Here is a 22927-nt window from a genome sequence, read left to right on the forward strand (position 1 = left end):
GTGGCTCACACCTGTAATCCCAGCACTTTGGGAGGCCAAGGTAGGCAGATCACCTGAGGCCGCGAGTTCGAGACCAGCCTGACCAACATGGAAAAACCCCGTCTCTACTAATAATACAAAATTAGCCGGGCATGGTGGCATATGCTTGTAATCCCAGCTACTCAGAAGGCTGAGGCAGGAGAGTCACTTGAACCTGGGAGGCAGAGTGAGCCGAGATTGCGCCATTGCACTCCAGTGTAGGCAATGAGAGCGAAACTCCATCTTTAAAAAAAAAAAAAAAAAACACAACAACAACAACAACAAAAAAAAGTCATCCTGCCAAATGTAGCAGAAGGAATTAGATGACCTTCCATCAATTTGTTCTAATTCTGTAAAATAATCTCTCCATAAGCTAAAGCTGTTCTTGGTAGTGATTTAGCAATATAAAATTGAATCATCACCTTACTTAAACCTTCTGAATAAGTCCATACAAGTAGACAAGGGGCAAAAAACAAAACAAAACAAAACAAAACAAAAACCCTAAGTAACCAAGGCCTTGATCTTCTGATCACTGTGGAATGAAGAGGGGAGGCTGTTGTAAGACTGCAGTTTGAGGAAAGGGGTTCAAAAAGTGGAGCAGGAGTAGGATAAAAATGGAAAGGAGGAAGGGAGAAGAAAGCATATAAATCTTTCTGAAATGATACTAATTTTTCATTGTTTTTTTTTTCCTGTTTTAAAAGTGAGTACTTAAACACCATCACATCTAGAATATTAAGTAAGACACTTAAGATGGTTCCTACAGAAAACCCTCATGAATCCTAAGCCAGTGAAGAAGAAATTGTTAAACCATTAATTTCAAAAACAGCCAAATAAGTAAGGAATATTTACCCAAATAATTACCAAAGAAGCAGCATAATAATAACATTGAGTTCCCAAACATCACAACAAAACAAAGTGCAAGAGAAATCTGGAAAAAATCCAAGAAAAAAATATAAGTAATGCACATAAAACAAAAAACCTTTGTTTTTTATTGTGAAAATTGTACATGCCCATAATAAACAGAATTCAAACTGTTCAAAAGGGACTATAAGATTAAAACAGCCCATTATCCATCCCACACTTCAAGCTCCCAGAGATAACCATCAACAGTTTCCTGTGCATCCTTCCAGACAACATGTATAAATTCTAGTTTATATATTTTGTTAAAACACAAACGGACACTTACCCCACAAGCTATACTATTTCTTGCTTTTATTCGTAATATGTTTCAAAGAGCTTTCCATATGCATGCAAGCCAATCTAATACATTCTGCTTAAGAACTGGAAAAAGTATTCTATTCCACAGATGTACCCTAATTTAACTAGTCCTCCGAATACTGCAAAACACTTAAGAGCTTTCCACTTCTATTTTGTTTTGTTTGGATCTTCCTAATAAAAACACTGCTATGATAGACATCCTTATGTGTATACCTTATGTACATGTCAGTACATTTATGAATAAATTACTAGAAGTGAAACTGATGGATCAAGGATATCCACATTTTTAAATTCAATACAAATATTGACAAATTGGCCTACAAAAAGATTGTGCCAATTCCCTTTCCCACCAACTGGGCAGGAGAGTTCCTATGGATATATATTCTGGCAACACTGTATTATTCTTTTAAATATCTGCCAATCCAGTGGGGAAAAAATGTTACCTCATTGTTTCACTTTTCCATTCTTTTAATAGTAGATGAGACACAGCACCTTTTATTCTATTTGCTGGTTATGTTGTCTTGTGTGTATGTGTGAACTGCTTATTCCAACTGCCCATCTGTCTATTGGGCTTTCATTATTTTCCTTAACAGCTCTCTTCATATATTACAGAACATAGCCCCAATATCCAGAATATACAAGGGACTTAAACAAATTTACAAGAAAAAAACAAACAACCCCATCAAAAAGTGGGCGAAGGATACGAACAGACACTTCTCAAAAGAAGACATTTATGTGGCCAACAAACATATGAAAAAAAAAGCTCATTATCACTGGTCATTAGAGAAATGCAAATCAAAACCACAATGAGATACCATCTCACACCAGTTAGAATGGTGATCATTAAAAAGTCAGGAAACAACAGATGCTGGAGAGGATGTGGAGAAACAGGAACACTTTTATACTATTGGTGAGAGTGTAAATTAGTTCAACTATTGTGGAAGATAATGTGACGATTCCTCAAGGATCTGGAACCAGTAATACCATTTGACCCAGCAATCCCATTGCTGGGTATATACTCAAAGGATTATAAATCATTCTACTATAAAGATACATGCACACATATGTTTATTGCAGCACTATTCACGATAGCAAAGACTTGGAACAAACCCAAATGCCCATCAATGATAGACCAGATAAAGAAAATGTGGCACATATACATTATGGAATACTATGCAGCTATAAAAAAAGGATGAGTTCATGTCCTTTGCAGGGACATGGATGAAGCTGGAAACCATCATTGTCAGCAAAGTAACACAGGAACAGAAAACCAAACACTGTATGTCCTCACTCATAAGTGTCAGTTGAACAATGAGAACACATGGACACAGGGAGGGGAACATCACACACTGGGGCCTGTTGGGGGTGGGGGGCTAGGGGAGGGATAGCATTAGGAGAAATACCTAATGTAGATGACAGGTTGATGGGTGCAGCAAACCACCATGGCACATGTATACCTATGTAACAAACCTCCACTTGCTGCACATGTACCCCAGAACTTAAAGTATATGTGTGTGTGTGTATATATATATATATATATATATATACACACACACACAAACACACACATATATAAAGAACATAGCTCCTTATCAAGTAAACATATTGTAAATATTTTTCTCAGTTCATTTTTGACCTTTGTGGTATTTTTTGTATTATGGTTATTTTCTAAATATTTATGTTAGCAAATGTATCTTTCATTTCCTTTAGGTCTTTGGATTTATCTGTCATTTAAAAAGGCACTAAAAATAAAATAATCCATATTTTCTTCTAGAAGTTTTATTTTTGATCCATATATATCAATTTCAATGTGAATTTCAGAATCAGCTTGTTTCAAAAACTAAAATTTTTATTAAAATTGCTTTATTCAATAACGTATGTTATTTACAGTTATATCTGTTCAAGATTGAATCTTTAGATCCCAAAGCAATACATGTTCCTTCCATTTCTTTAAATCTTCTTTTACATGCATTAGCAAGTACGGTTTTCTTTATATAGATCCTGCATATTTTCTTGAGTTTATTCTAAAGCATATTATTTTTGCTGCTGTTGTATCAAGAATCTTCATATTTTCTGTTTGCATATAGAAAAATTATATTAAATATGCATCAATGAATATGATTTCATTGTTTCTAGTAGTTTATTTGGATTTCTCAAGTATTCAAAATGATATCAACTACAAACAATGATATTTTTACATTTTCCTTTGAATTATTTTTCAGTCAATTGTATTAGCTGACATTTCTGCAACAATGTTAAGTAATGAGAGAGGCAGTAGGCATATTTACCATGCTTCTGGCATTAATGGAAATAGGAAATTGTTCTATGGCTTCATCATTGTATGTGATACTAGTTTTTGTTTTGAGGTGTGGGTATCTTAAATTTCAATGAAATATCCGTCTATTTTTACTTGATTATGGTCTTTTTTTTTTTTTTTTTTTTTTGAGACGGAGTCTCGCTCTGTCGCCCAGGCTGGAGTGCAGTGGCGCGATCTCGGCTCACTGCAAGCTCCGCCTCCCAGGTTCACGCCATTCTCCTGCCTCAGCCTCCCGAGTAGCTGGGACTACAGGCGCCCGCTACCACACCCGGCTAATTTTTTGTATTTCTAGTAGAGACAGGGTTTCACCGTGTTAGCCAGGATGGTCTCGATCTCCTGACCTCGTGATCCACCCACCTGGGCCTCCCAAAGTGCTGGGATTACAGGCGTGAGCCACCGTGCCCAGCCTATTATGGATTTTTTCAAACTTCTCAATGTGATAAATCATATTAATAGAATTTCTAATATCAACACATTCCTGAATTCCTGGAATGAGGCACTTAGATACAAATTTAACTATGTAAAAAATCTATCTGAGCAAAACTACAAAACTTCAATGAAAGTAATCAAAGAACTTTATAAATACATGAAGTTATTCCACATATAGGAAGGTTCCATATTGTCAAGATGCCAGTTCTTCCCAACTTGATCTACAGATTCAGCACAATCCCAATCATGAGCCTAGCAAGTTACCAATAAAGTGATTCTGAAGTTTATATGGAGATATAAACAACCCAGTATAGAGCCAACTCAATACTGAAGAGCAAAGTCAGAGGACTGACACTACCCCACTTCAAGACTTACTATAAAGTTACTGTAATCAAGACAGTGTGGTATTTGTGAAAGAAGACACGAACAGATCAAGGGAACAAAACACAGAGCCCAGAAATAGACTCACATATATAGTCAACTGATATTTGACAAAGGAGCAAAGGCAATACAGTGGAGCAAAAATTGTCCTTTCAACAAACGGTGCTGGAACAACTAGAGATCCACATACAAAAAAATAAATCTAGACATAGACTTTACACCCTTCATGAAAACTAACTCAAAACAGACAACAGATCTACATGCACATTGCAAAACTATAAAGCTCCTAGAAGATAACATTGGAGGAAACCTAGATGACCTTAGGTACGATGATGACTTCTTAGATAAAACAAAAAGGTACAATTCATGAAAGAAATGATTGATAAGCTGAACTTCACTAAAATTAAAAACTTCTGCTCTTTGAAAGACAGGACAATGATTGAGAAAAGATATCTGCAAAAGACACATCTGATAAGGGATTGTTATCAAAAACATACAAAGAATTCTTAAAACTCGACAATAAGAAAATGAACCACCCAAGGAAAAATAAGCAAAAGATCTGAATAGACACTGCACCAAAAAAGATACACAGATGGCAAAAAAAAAGCATAATAAAAGATGTTGAACCAAATTAAAACAATGAGATACCATTACACATCTATTAAAATGGCCATAATCCACCATGACACCACCAAATGCTGACAAGGATATGGAGCAGCAGGAACTCTCATTTATTGCTGGTGGTAATGCAAAATGGTATGGCCACTTTGGAAGACAGTTTGGCAATTTCCTAAAAACTAAGCATACTCTCACCATACCATCCAAATATCACTTTCCTTGGTATTCACTCAAATGAACTGAAACATCCATGTAAAAACCTGCATACAGATGTTTATGGCAGCTTTACTCATAATTGCCCAAACTTGGAGTTAACCAACAGTTATTCAATAGGCGAATAAATAAACAGTGGTACATCCATATAATGTTAATAAAATGTTAATAATAATCAAGATTGAAATGAGCTATCAAGCCATGAAAAGACTTGGAGGAAACTTATTTGCTTTTTACTAAGTGAAAGAAGCCAATATGAAAAGGCTACATACTGTATGGTTCCAAACACATGACACTATACAAAAGGCAAAACTATGGAAACAGTAAAAAGATCAGCGGCTGCCACGGGTTAGGGGGAAGGAGGGATGAATAGGTGGAGCACAGAAGAGCTTTATGGCTGTGAAACTGTTCTACAAGATACTACATGGTTGACACATGTCATTATACATCTGTCAAAATCCAGGCCGATTGCGGTGGTTCACATCTGCAATCCTAGCACTTTGGGAGGCCAAGGCAGAAGGATCCCTTAAGCCCAGGAGGTCAAGGCTGTGGTGAGCCATGTTTACACCACTGAACTCCAGCCTGGGCAACACGGCAAGACCCTGTCTCAAAAAACAAAACAAAACACAACAACCACCCATAGAAAAGTGAGGCCTAACGTAAACTACGGATTTTGGGTGATTCTGATGTGTGATGTAGGTTTATCAACTGTAACAAATGTACCACTCTGGTGCGGGATGTCAATAGAGGGGTAGGTTGTGCATGGTTGGGGGCAGGGGGTATGTGGGAACTCTGTACTTTCTGCTTAATTTTGCTATAAACCTGGCTGGGTGCAGTGGCTCATGCCTGTAATCCCAGCACTTTGGGAGGCCGAGGTGGGCAGATCACATGAGGTCAGGAGTTCAAGACCAGCCTGGCCAACATGGTGAAATCCCATCTCTATTAAAAATTCAAAAATTAGCTGAGTGTGGTGGCACGTGCCTCTAATCCCAGCTACTCGGAAGGCTGAGGCAGGAGAATCACTTGAACCTGGGAGGCAGAGGTTCCAGTGAGCCAAGATCGTGCCACTGCACCCCAGCATGGGTGACAGAGCGAGATCCATCTCAAAAAAAAAAAAATAATTTTGCTGTAAACCTAAAACTTCTCTGAAAAATAAAGATTTTTAATTAAGAAACAAAAACCACAGTGAGGTATCACCTTATAACTATTAGGATGGCTACCATCACAAAAGCAGAAAATAAATGTTGGTGATTACATGGAGAAAATAGAACCTCATGCACTGTTTATAGGAATGTAAAACGTACAGCTACTATGGAAAAGTTTGGCAGTTCCTTCAAAAATAGATTTACCATATGATCAATCCAGCAATTCCACTTTTGGGTACATACTCAAAATAATTGAAAACAAGATCTCAAAAAATATTTGTTCATAGCAGCATTATTTACTATAGCTGAAACATCGAAGTAACTCAAGTATCTGTGGACAGACTGAATAGATAAGCAAAATCGTGTGTGTGTGTGTGTGTGTGTGTGTGTGTACACACAATGGAATCCAAGTATCCATGGACAGGCTGAATGGATAAGCAAAATCTAGTGTGTGTGTGTATGTGTGTGTACACACAATGGAATCCAAGTATCCATGGACAGATTGAATGGATAAGCAAAATCGTGTGTGTGTGTGTGTGTGTGTGTGTGTGTACACACAATGGACTATTATTTAGCTTTAAAAGGAAGGAAATTCTGACATGCTTCAACATAGAAGAAACTTGGGGACAGTAGGCTAATTGAAATAGGCCAGTAACAAAAAGACAAATACTGTATGATTTCACTTACATGACATACATAAAGTAGTCAAAATCACAAAGACAGAAAGTAGATGGTGGTTTCCAGGGGCTGGGAAGATGGAAGAATATGGACTTTAATGGGTATAGAGTTTCAGTTTTGCAAGATGAAAAATGTTCTGGAAATAGATGGTGGTGATGGTTGTAAAACAATGTGAATGTACTTAATATCACTGAACTGTATAATTAAAAATGCTTAAGGTGGTAAATTTTAAGTTACATGTATTTTACCACAATAAAAAATGGAAAAATAATTTTTTTGGAATAATTCTATATATTTTTTCTTTTTATAACTATAAGAATTTAGAAATTTATAAAACGATAATGGAAGAAGATAGAAAATAGTAAGTCATATAATAAAGTATGTATCATTTACCCAAGGTAGGTTTTACGGCTAACTACGCTGTGTAATTTTATAATTTTATAACTAAAACTTTGAGTCAAGGCCCTCAGCCATAGTTGTCTATGTGACCAGCCAACTCTGAAGGCTTAACATTTAATCTGATTTATACTACAAAATAAAAAACTATTTTAAATAGTTTGGGAAAAAATAAGCCGCATCTAAAAAATACATAATTACTGTCTAACACATTCATGAACAAGGATGTAAAAATCCTATCAAAATGACAGCAAACTGAATCCAGCGACATGCAAAAATTGTGTTTAGCCCAGAAAAGCAAGTTTATTTAACGGTAGAAAATTAATTAATGTTAATTCATTACAGTAACAGATTAAAGAGGGGGAAATACATAGAATCATGTAAACAGATGTACGAAAGCATTTCATGAAACTTAACATTTATTAATTTCTTTTTAAAAGTGCTCAAAGCATGATGAGGACATGTTAAAAGGAAAGAGAAGTCAGCTTGAATAGTTGGACAAGTGTGGAACAATTGGAGCATCAACATAAATAACAAAAATAATGGATTACACTGCACTGACTAAAATAGATGTCATTTTCTTTTGGACACAAGACAAACTGGTAAAAGATTTGAATAGGAATTTACAACAGTGGAAACATGAAGGGCGTACAAACAAACCAAAAGATGCTCAGCTTCATTATGAATCAGAGAAAATGCAAATTAAGGTTATAAGATACCATTTTACATGAACCAGATTAATAAAATAAAAAAGGATGTAGAATAACATAAGCTGCTATATATTGCTGTTGGAAGTAGTCCAATCATTTTAGAAAAACAATTTGGTATTTATAAAGTTGAACATGTACATAATTTACCACCCAACAAGTTTACTACTAGGTAAACACCCTAGAGAAACTCTCAACATAGGTGCCCTAGGAGATATGTGAAGAATGTACAGCATTATTTATAACTAAAATAAGAAGTTGGGGAGAGAGGAGAGAACCTAAATGTCCTTCAACAAGAAAATGAATAAATGAATTACGCTTTATTTATATGATGGAAAATATAAAGCAGTGAAAATATTTGAATTCTAGTTACATATAAGTAGCAGAAATCTGAGTGAAAAAATAGTACTTATAAAATGCCATTTGTATAAACCTTACAAAGAATGTGAACATTTAATAATAAAAATTTATACTATTTAGTAATCCACATATGGTAAAGTTATAAAGAAAAGCAAATTGATTACGATTCAAAAAGTCAGAATAGCGGTTACCTCTAGGAACAGTGAGGGGATGAGCTCAGGGCATACAGGACTTAAAAGTAACAATAAGGTTCTATTTTCCATTTGGAGAGTAGGCTCCCGGTTGTTTATTTTATGACTGTGTTTATAACTTCCTTGCACATTATAAATGTTCTTTTATATGTATAAATTGTTAAGAAAATGAAAATGGGATATTATGACAGTTGTAAAATTATCAGGAAAAGAAAACATCAATATAAAAACTAATGAGAGAGAAGACAAATGTTTGTTTTTAAAGGATAACCATTCAAGAACATCAACCAATCGGCTTTAGGGTCTTTATTCTAGCTGTTCCACCAACCTAGGTATCAGTTTCTTTGATATCTACTTGGCTAACTCGTTCTCCTTCTTCCAATCTTTGTTCTACTCCCCCTTTTCAAGAAGACCTGCCCTGACCACCTCATTTGATTTTTCCATCTCCTACCCCCTGATCTTGGTGCTCCTGATCTGCCTTACCCTTACCTTTTCTTTCTTCTAAAATCTCTTTTTGTAATTTTTTATAGAGATGGGGGTCTCACCCAGGCTGGTCTTAAACTCCTGGGCTCAAATGTCCTCTTGTCTCAGCCTCCCCAGGCCACCATGCCTGGCCTAAAATCCTTATCACCTTCTAACACCCTACAAAATTTACCCATTTACTATGTTTATTATTTATCTTCTGTCTTCCCTCCTTCCCCCACTCTGTTAGAATGTAGTAATATGAATGCTGGTGTATTCCACATGCCTGGATAGTTGACACTCAGTAAATGAACTTTTTTTCTTTTTTGTAGAGACATGGTCTTGCTATGTTGCCCAGGCTGGAGTGCAGTGGCATGATCATAGCTCAGTGCAGTCTCAACCTCCCGGGCTAATGCGATCCTCCCACATCAGCTTCCTAAATAGCTAGTACTACAGGCATGCGTCACCGTGCTAGGATAATTTTATTTTATTTTAGTAGAGATGAGATCTGGCTCTGTTGCCCAGGCTGGTTTCAAACTTCTGGCCTCAAGTGAACTCCACCTTGGCCTCTCAAAAGTGTTGGGATTACAGGCATAAGCCACCATGTTAGGCCCTTCTACTTCATTTTAACAGACAGCTCCTGGATAATATATCAGTCCCATGTTTCCGTTTCATAAATTATTTCTTTTACTGATAATGCATAAGTTGGGAACAACTTCAATCAGATAATATGACCCAAATTAAATTTTTGTGAGTGGTCTATCAAAACAAGGTCTGTTGATTATATCACAATGTTTGAACAACATTTGTTTTAGTTATGAAATTGTTACAACTAGTTTCAACCATGAACAAATCAAATATTAATCAGGAGTTTAAGGGCAAACTAAATGGAAAAGAACAATAAAAAAATTATTACCATGTGTATATAAATGATCTTCCATAATTTACATATATCAATGTACCCGACAACATACACTGCAAATAATGATGCAATCTGAAATTTAAAAAGAAAATAGAAGTAAAAAAGATAAAATGAATAGCTACAAGAATGAAGAATATATTTATTGTTGTTTCAACTGATTTATATCTACACACAGAGTGAGTTCTTTTGTTTTCCTTTTATCTGCCAATTTATTATTAAATATAGTCAATATATTAGTATAGAAAATATTGGTTGATTTTTCTCTCTGACACACAGCTCTCTCAATCATGTGAATTGTCTACTTTGTTGATTGTCCAAAACAATACTCATTTTAATTTCAGGTCAACCCTACTGTCAACACGTACAATTAAAAAGTACCTTGTCCAATCAAAAAAGATGAAAACGTAATTATAACATGACAACTAATACATAATTGGGGAAGGTACATTTAACTGAAAAATAATTATGCAATGCATGTGTGCATAAAAATACGTTAATTTCTGCTTGCTAGTCACTCTTTACAAGTATCTCCATTAGCGTTCTTCCATTAATACAAATATTCAAGAGTTAGTTATAATCAAATTTATCAATTTCAAATTAAGAGTACTTTCGCTGCAAAGGTATTTTTAACTTTCTTTTCCATTTGGAAGAAAATTATATGTTATATATCAATAATTCTAAGAGTACTGGAATTATTTAGATGAATTGATTAAATGATGATACAGTATCTCTTACATGGAGGTAATATGTCAGACAATGCCTCTACACCCTTCCTCATAGAGAAAGCAATTCAAATTAAATTCTTCCTGTCCTACTACAAAAGCATAGCATAAACAGATTGCAAAATAGCTGAATACTTAAACTATAACTTGTTTCATTCATCAAGTTTTTTTATCTCTAAAGCAATCTACAACAAATTTTTTCATTAGTGAGAAAAACAACTAAGTTTCCCTTTATTCAGAGTTACCCATGGAGAACACTGCATTTCTTAGGGTGCCTGATATGACATAACAACTGTGGGGAAGTGTGTGTTATTATTCAATGTAAGCCCCACAGGGAGGCAAAATACCTCCCCTGACCCTCACCTCCACAAAAAAGCAGGCAGTCTCCACTATCAGGAAGCAATGAGAATGCTCCCTTTTCACCCCAAGGGCTAAGCAACACACAGTACATTTACAGGGTAGAATTTTCAAGAGACAATCTCAGAGACAATTTTAAACCAGAAACTGATTGAAAATGTCATCGAACTAAGTTAGACAAAGGAGTCTACAAGACAAGATCAAAGTAAAAAGTAAGTACAAATAGAGCCTATTTTAAAAAATAATGATAAAACCAACTAACCTTACTGACACCTACTAAGTACCAGGTACTGTGTTAAGAATCATATACATTACTTCATCTGGTCCTATCCGCAACCCAATAAAGTAGGTTCTTTTATTATCTCTATTTCAGAAATGAGAAAACCTAAACTAAGAAAAGTTAACTACTTTATCCAAGTTAAGAGGCTACTGAATAGAATTAGGACTCAAATCCAAGTCTAACTTCATTTCTCAAGCAAGACGTTCTAAAAAATATTAAAAAGCTGCCAGGCGCCGTGGCTCACGCCTGTAATCCCAGCACTTTGGGAGGCTGAAGCAGGCGGATCACGAGGTCAGGAGATCGAGACCATCCTAGCTAACAAGGTGAAACCCCATCTCTACTAAAAATACAAATAATTAGCCAGGCATGGTGGCATGCGCCTGTAGTCCCAGCTACCTGGGAGGCTGAGGCAGGAGAATCGCTTGAACCCGAGAGGTGGGGGTTGCAGTGAGCCGAGACTGCACCACTGCACTCAAGCCTGGGCAACAGAGCAAGACTCCATCTCAGAAAAAAAAAAAAAAAAGCAACTCTTCAACTGCTTTATACAAATATACCAGTACAATAAAAAAAATAGTAGGCAGGGAAAAAAATGAGTATATAACTCATTTTTTTTTTTGAGAGTATGTAACCCTCTCTCAACAAACTACCTCCATTTATAGTGGGCATGAGTACATGGAAAGGCAATAGATAAATTTCCAGACTGGTAGAGAGAATTTTATAAGAGATGAACTGGTTAGCTATTTATCCTGTAATCCTATGTGTCTGTATTTTACATGCAAGAATGTACACAACTATTCATAAAAGAAACATTTTACGTAAGAGAAATACTATTGTTAACTTAAGAGAAATACTTAAAGTTATAGCACTAGTCCTCTTTTAAGGACATTAACAATACTGAATAACAAAGATAAGCATTCTTACAAATTTGAGTTCAATAAATGCATTATGTTAGGAAGTAAATAATTAACAATCATTTATAAATAATCCTACATATTTCTCTACCCTGAACTTTCTTTTGTTCAACATTCCTAAAAAATGTTTTAGAAAAACATTTTTTCTGTTCCTGTTTTAGAAAAACATTTTTCCTAGAAAATGCTTTAGAAAAACATTTTTCCTAGAAAATGCTTTAGAAAAACATTTTTCCTAGAAAATGCTTTAGAAAAACATTTTTCCTAGAAAATGCTTTAGAAAAACATTTTTCCTAGAAAATGCTTTAGAAAAACATTTTTCCTAGAAAATGTTTTAGGACTTAGAATCATAGAACATCTCAGTTATAATTTTATGCAAATAAGTTCATAGTCAAACATGCTAAGCTTAAAACAGCTTAAAATATAATCACCTCACCTGAGTAAGAAGTACAAACTGAGCAAACTGCCAAGGAAGCATGAAAAATAAATTGGAAATGCAGAGTGCAATCAAACTTCCTCTATAAAGTTTTGTAGCCCTTGAAAAGATAAAATAAGTGTTAGTAAGTTTAAACACGAAATAGTCTAGCATGGCTCCAAACTGCTGCAAATTAGAATCTCGAAATATATATGATCTGGTTATAACACAAACCTAAACATAAAATGAACCAATGGGTTAGAAATTATACCTCCTGATACTCAATTACAACAATTTTCTTTGAAAGGTAAATACCCATTATTGCTAACAATAACACAGAGAGAAGGAGGGTGGCTGGGTCAGTATATCCACGAACATTTTTTTCAAATTATATTTTGGTGAATCCATGACTGAATATTTAAAAATACTGATTCAACAGATTCATTAGTTAGAAAGGCAGAAGATGCCTATGAAAAGATAATAGCAGCATATTCTAAGTGCTAAGTATTATGCAGACAACTACTGCAAGAATGCAGAATAAGAGCTAAGCGGCTGAGATTTTATAAGCATGTGAGATAAAAAGTTGGGTCTGGCACAGGCAGGATAACACAGAAAAGTTAAGTGGAGGAAAAGATATGGGGGCCACTCTGAAGCAATCTTTAGAGATCTCATTTTGGTACTGACTTGTAATTTAGGAGATTTTTAGGAGGGTAAGATGATTTTATCCTCTAAATCTGCGAGCCAACGCAAAGCCCCCACACATGTCCATCTTCACAGAAGTGGAGTGTGCATGTTAATATACTGAGGTGATGAAGTATAGGCAGCTCGGATACAGTAAAGACATCCTGGTTAGATAAACCTACCTGGAGCATAGAGCACCATTATGAAATGCCTTTCTTCACTTCCCCAAGTATCCCTTCTCCAAAGGACATCCCTCTCTGCTATTTTAATCCAACAAAAGTACTTTTAAACTCCAGATAACCTTTTAATGAGTTATGAAATCAACTTATGGAATAAAATTCAGCATTTAAAAATGGAGATCAGCAGAGTGAAACAGAATATATATGACTATATCCTATTTACGAGGGGTTCTATTCTGTAAAACTTTTGTTTCAGTTGTGTGCATCCATGTATGTGTATACAAAGCCACAGTGTAAAACATATTTCTTATTTCTTATAGATCATAGTCCAAAAGTTTGAAAGCCGCTGTCTAAAATAAAGTACTTCTCTACTGCTTTTGAATACTAAATATGATTTTCATTTTATGGGTAACGAGAGACATTAAGATTTCTGAGCAGAATTTAATACCAATCTGGCAGTTGGGTAAAGAATGCACTATGGGGAGATAGGAATGAACAGAAAACAAAGAAAATTCAATTGGTGATCAAAATAGCTCTGACCCAAGAAAACAGAAACAGAAACATAAATATTGCCAAGAATAATTAAAAAAAGCTAAGAACAATCAAGAAAAAGCTAAGCTGTGCTAGTATTAGGTGACTATATAAACTGAATTTCTAAAAATGCTTAAAATTCAAAACTGGACAAAACCAATTTGTTAAAATATACCACTAACCTTATTTATAAATGATTCCTAGCATTAAGGAATAGTCTCTTTTCCGGTTTTATAACAGTATCCTCAGCACTGCAGCCTGCATCAACACTGCTCAGCTTCTTCTTGGCTCCCCCAAGCCATCACCACCCACCACCTCCCTCTAATGTCATAATATGTCAACTACAGGTAGAACTCAAGAACTAAAGGAAATGGCTGCTCTTCCAAAGGAGACAATGTCAGTAATAAGGATGAAATATCAGAAGATGAAGATGGCCAATAGAGAGAAGGTTACTATCCTTCAGAAAAAAGACAAGATGTCTGCCAAAGCTTCAAGAAAGGAAGTTTAGCAGGTTTTCCCTCCAAAAAAGACTGCAGTGTCCAAGAAAGCAAAATGAAAGCCCACACTTCCAAGCAACCAGTCATAGCCACAGCAGGCAAGCAGGGAGCCATGACAACTAAGGGGCATAGCCAGGAAAGCCGTCGCAATCAGAACTGATAAGCTGCCAATGAAGATGGCGAGGAAGATCAAGACGAGATGGATCTGAACCAGGAGTGGTGAAAACAACAGCTGATTCAGCTTCAGATGACCAGGAATATGAGAAAGGAAATGTCAACTAGAATATGAACAGAGACAATGAAAAAGGCTCTAAAGAAAGGAAAGTTCTCTAAAACTTTTCAGCAAAAAGTAAAGACAGGTATGAACAGGTGGGTAAGGCTGAAAATGACAATGATAAGAGGCTAAAGAAGACACAAAAAGCTTGCCACAGAAGCACCTGGAGCCAAAAACAGAGAAGGACCCAATAGAAGGCAGCCCTTGAAGGCAGGAAACAGCAACTGGAGAGGCCCCATCCTGGTAGGCAGAATAATGGCCTCCAAAAACATGTGTCCTAATCCCTGGAACCTGTGAACATGTCATGTCACTTTTATGTACCACCACAGGATACATAAAAGTGGAAGAGAGGCTGAAGAGAAGGTTGGAGTAAACTGACAAAGAAGGACCCAATCCAGCATTGCTGGTTTTGAAGATGAAGGAGCCACAAGCCAAGAAATGCAGGCAGTCTCCCAAGAAATGCAGGCAGCCTCCCAAGAAATGCAGGCAGCCTCCCAAGAAATGCAGGCAGCCTCCCAAGAAATGCAGGCAGCCTCTAGAAGCTAGAAAAGGCAAGAAAATTGATTCTCTCCCCTCCCACTCTGTGCCTTCAGGAAGAGTGTAGCACCTCCAGTACCTTGATTTTAAAACTAAGGAGCTAGAAAACTTCAAGGTAGTAGATCCCAGTTTGTGGTGACTGGTACACAGCAACAGGAAAGTAACACTACCTTCTATGGTACAGACGGACTAAAGGAAGCAGCACTCAGTCACCGGAGCAGCATCCCCATGCCCACTTAGGGACAGATCAGATCAGTGAGTGAAAGAAGAATCAAAGGTTTGCCTTCGCTGGATTTAAGACAGGAGCAGAGGTAGAAAAGCAGGAAGGAACTAGAGACTGATGGGCAGTCTGCTGTCTGCACTATACTGGAGAAAAAAGCCACGGTCAAGAATGTGAATGTGGAAAAACAGCATCTGTAGTGGTGAATCAAAGACTCCTACAGCACAACACTTCTTACAGAGATGTTTGAGAAGGGACCGTTGCTCAAGGTGCCTCAGAACCAACAAGGCAGAGCTAAAGGTTACGAATTCATAGAGGTTCACCTTATTTGAAGGTGCTAAAGAAGCTTTAAATCCTATAAAAGAGTTTAGGGGACAGCAATAAAGCTGGAGCTACACAGACTTTAAAAAGCTAATGCAAAAACATTACCCATCCCATGTTCTATGAAGGGTCTGTCTAAAGACACTACTACATAGGAGACTAAAAGCCATGTGATGGTTCTATACTTGCTGTAACAATCAGAGGGAAATAGATTGCCCAAAGAGTTTGGCATAACAGACTTCAACAAAGTTCTTCCAAATTCGGAGGATCACTGAAAAGAGTTATCAGTCTGAGTCATCTTCAGATTTTTATCATGCTTTGTTCCATTTTTCCATAGCCCCCATTTTGTTTCATTTTTACCCTCTGGAGCAAGGCAGCTGTATTCAATATTTGTCAGCAGAAAGGGAGAGAAGTGTGAATTCTGTGAATTACACTTTGCCCCAAAGGATTGCATCTTACAGGATACACTATAGCATAACCAGCCTTCACCTTCTTTCTACTCATTTTCAGGAAGTTATAGTGGTAACAGAAGAAGACTTGAGAAAGTGGAAATGACAGAAGTGAAAGCAATTTGTTCCTTCTCAAGCAGTCACTGTGGACCACCAAGAAAAAGGAAGAGGAACAGAAGGCTGATGGAGGAAATGTTTTTGGTACTATTTTTAAGTTATACTCTTAAAATATTTTTACTAATAATGGCATCATACTGGTAAATTATTTTATTATGTTGACTTTATTATGGAAGCTTAAGAAATTCTAGTTTAAATTATTTAATGCAAAAAGAAATAAGGTTAAGTCAAAGTTACCTGAGAATATGAGTCACAAGCAACATCTGAAGAACAAGAAATGGATATGAGAAGCTTTCGCGGAGAGGTGGTGTCCACATTACACAGGTACACTGAAAAAAAAATTCGTAGTATAGTATACTTGCTAAATTTACTAAGACAGACATTCCAAGTAAAAATTGCTATTTATAAATAAAATAAAATTATTTTTAACAAATAATTTAAATGGTATGTTGTAAAACAAACTACTGGACTTTATCCCATAAACAGCAAAACTAGCATGTGAGAAATATTACTGACAGAGACACATGTGGCTTAAGATCATGTAAAGCATTAATATGAATTGTCAACAAGAAAATACCAAAAAAGATGCAACTACATCTTAAAAGGAAAGGGAGGAAAGTACCAGCAAAAAAACGTTCTGTCAAATTTCAGAATATTTTGAATTGATTATTTATCTATTGTTTGTCTTCTTTCCCATGAATTTCAGCAAAACTATCCATAACCAGCACTTGAGAATTCTTGTAGTCATCAATTTTAGTATTTTCATTCACAGTGCTGCTACAAAGGAATATTCCATTTTTGGTTTTACTTCTTTGCCTAAGCTACCCTGGGTTGCAAAATATTTAAAAGTAGGTGGCGGAATCAAATTAAGTAACAAAAGTCCTAAAATTGTGAAGTATAAACCTTTCTGAAAAGCTCACTTTGGACATAATTAAGCAATGTACTATCGCAGTTGTAATAATGTCATTTTTCTGTATATATACTAAATACATTAGTAAGTTCATCCTTCCATCGACAGAAAACCGCATAGAATTAAATGCAAGCAATCTGATATTATTAAGTCACACTAAAATAAATTATGTCTTTCAGTGCAAGCAGGGGTACCTAAAAGACTCCACAGAATGACAAAGACCATGTCAGAAATAAGTGTTTCCTATATTTTAGCTCTACCTCAGACTACTGAATATTTCTAGTACTGCTATAGAAAGACTGAGTCAATTTACTCCTCTTTTCTACCGAGCCCACCATCCTCTATGAAACTGACATACATATCTATTTATGAATGAACTACTCACACAAGGGAATGCTGAAAAGATCTGATGGATACTCTTGTTACTCAATATTACTGAATGTCTGTTGATAATGTATACTGTTGTTACCAGAATGCAATTTTTAAAAGCTGTTAGTTTATTAGATTAACTGGAGAGTTCAGTAGGATTGACAGTAAGATACATGGGCAAACCACGTTTCATTGCCCTTTACCATGCTTCACAGATAAGGTCTGTCACAAACTGAAGGTTTGTGGCAACCCTGCATCAAGCAAGTCTATCAGTGCCATTTTTCCAATAGCATGTGGTCACTTCATGTCTCTGTGTCACGTTTTGGTAATTTTCATAATATTTCAACCTTTTCTTTTTTTTTTTCTTTTTGAGACAGAGCCTTGCTCTGTCACCCAGGCTGGAGTGCAGTGGCACGATCTCGGCTCACCGCAAGCTCCACCTCCCAGGTTTACGCCATTCTCCTGCCTCAGCCTCCTGAGTAGCTGGGACTACAGGTGCCTGCCCCACGCCCGGCTAATTTTTTTTTTTTTTTTTTTTTTTGGATTTTTTTTAGTAGAGACAGGGTTTCACTGTGTTAGCCAGGATGGTCTCGATCTCCTGACCTCGTGATCCGCCCGCCTCAGCCTCTCAAAGTGCCGGGATTACAGGCGTGAGCCACTGTGCCTGGCCTATTTCAACCTTTTTCATTATTACTATATCTGCTATGGTGATCTGTGATCAGTAATCTCTGATATTACTATTGTAATTGCTTTAGGTGCCTTGAACCATGCCCAATAAGATGGCAAACTTAATGGATAAATGTGTGTGTTCTAACTGCTCCACCGATCAGCCACTCTCCCATCTCTCTCCCTCCCATCAGGCCTCCAAATTCCCTGAGACACAACAATATTAAAATTAGGAAAATTAATAAGCTTACAAGGGCCTCTAAGTGTTCAATTAATAGAAAGAGTTGTTCATCTCTCACTTTAAGTCAAAGGCTAGAAATGATTAAACTTAGTGAAGAAGACATGTCAAAAGCCGAGAGAGGCCAAAAGCTAGGCCTCTTATGCCTAACAGTCAGAAATGCAAAAGAAAAATTATTGAAGGAAATTAAAAGTGAAACAACCTTATTGCTGATATGCAGACAGTTTTAATATTCTGGATGGAAGATCAAACCAGCCACATTTCCTTAAGTCAAAGCCTAATCCAGAACAAAATCCTAACTCTCTTCAATTCTACGAAGGCTGAGAGAGGTAAGGAAGTTGCAGAAAAGTTTGAACTAGCAAAGGTTGGTTCATGAGGTTTAAGGAAAGAAGCCATCTCCGTAAGATAAAAGTACAAGGTAAAACAGCAATGCCGATGTAGAAGTTGCAAGTTATCCAGAAGATCTAGCTAACATAACTGAGGCAGGTGGCTGCACTAAACAACAGATTTTCAGTGCAGATGAAAAAGCCTTCTACTGGAAGAAGATGTCATCTAGGACTTTCCCAGTTAGAGAGAAGTCAATGGCTGGCTTCAAAACATCAAAGGACAGGATGACTCTCTTGTTAGGACCTAATGCAACCAGTGACTAACTTGAAGCCAATATTCATTGACCATCCTAAAAATCCTAGGACCCTTAAGAATTACACTAAATCTACTCTGCACATGATCTACAAATGGAGCAACAAAGCCTAGGTAAGAGCAAATCTGTTTTAGCATGATTCACTGGATATTTTCAGCCCATTCTTGAGACCTACTGCTCAGAAAAAAAGATTCATTTCAAAATATTATTGCTCATTGACAGTGCACTTGGTTACAAAAGTGCTCGGGTGGAGATGGATGAGGTGATTAATGTTGCCTTCATGCCTGCTAACACAGCATCTATTCTGCAGCCCATGAAGCAAGGAGTCATTTCAACTTTCAAGTCTTATTATTTAAGAGATATCTTTCATAAGGCTCTAGCTGCCATAGTGATTCCTCTGATGAGTCTGGACAAATGAAATTTAAATCTTCTGGAATGGATTAACTATTTCAGATACCATTAAAATCATTCTGATTCATGAGAGGAGGTCAAAATGTCATCATTAATAGGACTTTGGAAGAAGTTTATTTCAACTCTCATGGGAGACTTAGATGGGCTCAAGACTTCCGTGGAGGAAGTAACTGCAGATGTGATGGAAATGGCAAGATAACTAGAAATGGAGACTGAAGATGTGACTGAACTGCTGTAATCTCATGATAAAACTTAAAGGATAAGGAGTTGCTTCTTAAATGAGCAAAGGGAATGGTTTCTTGAAACGGGATCTACTACTGGTGAAGATACTGTAAACACTGTTGAAATGACAACAAAGAATTTAGAACATGACATAAACTTAGTTGCTAAAGCAGTGGCAGGGTTTGAGAGGACTGACTCCAATTTTGAAAGCTCTACTGTGGGTAAAATGCTATCAAACAGCATCACATGCTACAGGGGAATCTTTCATGAAAGAAAAAATCAATCGATGCAGCAAATTTCATCGTTACCTTAAGAAATTGCCACAGCTATCCCAATCTTCAGCAACCCCTCTGTCAGCAGTTGTCAACATCAAGGCAAGACCCTCCATCTGAACAACTTGCTGAAGGTTCAGATGATCGTTGGCAGTTTGTTTGTTTGTTTATTTTGAGACGGAGTTTCATTCTGCCACCCAGGCTGGAGTGCAGCTGTGCAATTTCGGCTCACTGCAGCCTCTGCCTCCTGGGTTCAAGCGATTCTCCTGCCACAACCTCCCAAGTAGCTAGGACTATAGGCACCCGCCACCACACTTGGCTAATTTTTTTTGTATTTTTAATAGAGAAAGCGTTTCACCATGTTGACCAGGCTGGTCTCAAACTCCTGACCTCAGGCGATCCGCCTGCCTCAGCCTCCCAAAATGCTGGGATTAGCAACTTATTTTTAAATTAAGGTATGTACATTGTTTTTTAGACATAATGCTATTTCACACTTAATAGACTATAGTACAGTGTAAACATAACTTTGATATGCACTGGAAAACCAAAAAATTTGTTATGACTTGATTTATTACGATATTCACTTTACAATATCTCTGAAGTATGCCTGTATGATCAAAATTTGCAAAGTCATCAGTCTGTACAAAAACAAGTATTCAAACAAGCAAGTATTCAAACTATGCAATGTACAATTTGAGAATTTTCTTCATATGGACGGTTCCCCCACATTTGTTACCCACATTCAATGACGTTATCATTCCTCCGAAATTCGTTGCATTTAATAGCTGAAGTCACTCAGTTCAACAAAACTGAATTACATCCTCTGAAAGTAGGGACAAGAAAACCCAATTACAGGACTGTAATGAAGGGCAAGGTCTTCTCCCTCCAAAGTTCTGAGTATATGAATTCAAATGTCCATGAAAGTGCTTTCTATTGTTTCTCCAATAACACAATGTGTTTTACTAGATCTGGTACAAACATAATTGCCATTCCAGATAATCTCATATAATCTGAAAATAGTGAAGAGATTTGGTTTAGTCATGCCTTACGTTTCAACAAATAAATATTTTTTCTTTATCTCTAATTTTAAATGCAAAATAAAAAGTGTGACAGTTTAAAATGCCAATGCTTTTTAAAGGCATTATTTTGAAATTTGAGAATTAAAGGAAATATACATGTGAACTGCTTCAAAAAAGGCTTATACAAATGTATGTTGTCTCTAAGTACAAGAAATCCATTTATTGTGAAAATAAATTCAATAAAAATCTCATGTTTCAAACTGCTAACACCTAGTATATAATTTTTATCACACATTTCATAACACTGATTATATTGCAACATAATACTGTGTAGATATTAACAAGAGGCTTTTCTTTTCTGCTTAATAATTTTTAATCAATCACTCAAGAATCAATAACTAAGGAATCTCAAAAATAGCTTAATTTTCCAATCTCTATTTTCAAACTATTAACTTATAATATTGGAAATACAGCATGATCTAATTGATTTATCTTCATAACTTCAAAATAAATAGAACACCTGACTAGTGAGTTATAAATTGTGGTTAATATTAGTATCAAACAGATCATGTTTAAGATTTATTCCAAGAGTTTTTACTAGAGTTGCTATTTGCTGGATCAATCCTAACTTGTTACTATAATGTTTAGGTTTAAAACAAATTACCCACCTCTGACTGCTGCTTTTCTATATTGATTACACTATTGCTCCATATTGCTTAATATTAACTATAATAAGGCTTTAAACACTATATTTATGAGTGCTTCCTTAAAAGACTGCTGGCACCATGAAGGTTATGCTACCTCTCTTCAGAGAATGTTACAGGTGTTAAGAATCCTGCTATCCACATAGTAACCATAAGAATGCTAGGTTTAAGAGACATGGCTTGAATATCTCCTGTTTGATGCTACTTAGGGCAGTCCCATTATTTAGGAAGACCCTTAGTTTGGAGTAGGCTTTGTGCATCTCAGGGCACTGTATCTTGATAACAGGTAAGCCTGGTTGCTTTCTTGGAGTTTTGGTCTATTTTTGTACCATACACAGGTTGAGTATTTCTCATCCAAAATGCTGGGACTAGAAGTGTTTTAGATTTCAGAGTTTTTCAAATTTTGGAATATTTGCATTTTACTTACTAACTGAGCATCTCTAGTCCAAAAAACCAAAATCTGAAATGCTCCAGTGAGAATTTCCTTTGAGAGTCACGTTGGCGTTCAAAAAGTTTTGGACTTTTCAAGTATTTCAGACTTCAGATTTTCAGATTACAGATGCACAGCCCGTACTGATAAGCTGCTCAATTAACCAGTTACATATTTCAATCTGAACTTATAATACAATTTTGGCTCACACAGGGTTTAATGTGTCAGTGATACGTAAATGCTATTTTAAACTTTACTATCTTTATAAAGAATTTCAGCTGGTTGTATGACAGAAAACATTGATCTTTTTGTCTCTGAAAATCTAAGATATCAGTATATCCTATCCTAAATTTACAAAAAACCTCTGTGAAAGCAGTCAACTTTGTTGAAAAAGCGGTGAGTACACCTCCATGTTTCCATCCATTGTTGCAATGACTCGAACTTGACCATTGCTTATTCATCTAAAATAGAAAATATATCTGGCAAGATGTTATCAGTATCAA

At 36.2% G+C, this 22927-nt stretch overlaps 1 pseudogene across 1 annotated transcript in view, besides 1 other annotated feature; it reads right to left on the reverse strand.

Moving 5' to 3' along the window:
* DPY19L1P1 (DPY19L1 pseudogene 1) overlaps positions 1-22927 on the reverse strand; it is a 138230-nt pseudogene that overhangs the window by 41555 nt on the left and 73748 nt on the right. The window contains exons 7-10 of the transcript NR_036680.1: positions 16781-16872; positions 12759-12858; positions 10050-10127; positions 868-946 (exon numbers count right to left, since the gene is read on the reverse strand). The product of NR_036680.1 is annotated as a DPY19L1 pseudogene 1 (transcript). The remainder of the gene's footprint in view (positions 1-867; positions 947-10049; positions 10128-12758; positions 12859-16780; positions 16873-22927) is intronic.
* Positions 16368-16417: an enhancer, noted in NCBI's record as "active region_25829". NCBI's record gives its function as "activates an Ori minimal core promoter by ATAC-STARR-seq in GM12878 lymphoblastoid cells {active_cell/tissue: GM12878}" and the evidence as "EXISTENCE:reporter gene assay evidence [ECO:0000049][PMID:35858748]".

This window comes from Homo sapiens, chromosome 7 (genome assembly GCF_000001405.40).
Source record: "Homo sapiens chromosome 7, GRCh38.p14 Primary Assembly".
NCBI lineage: Eukaryota > Metazoa > Chordata > Mammalia > Primates > Hominidae > Homo > Homo sapiens.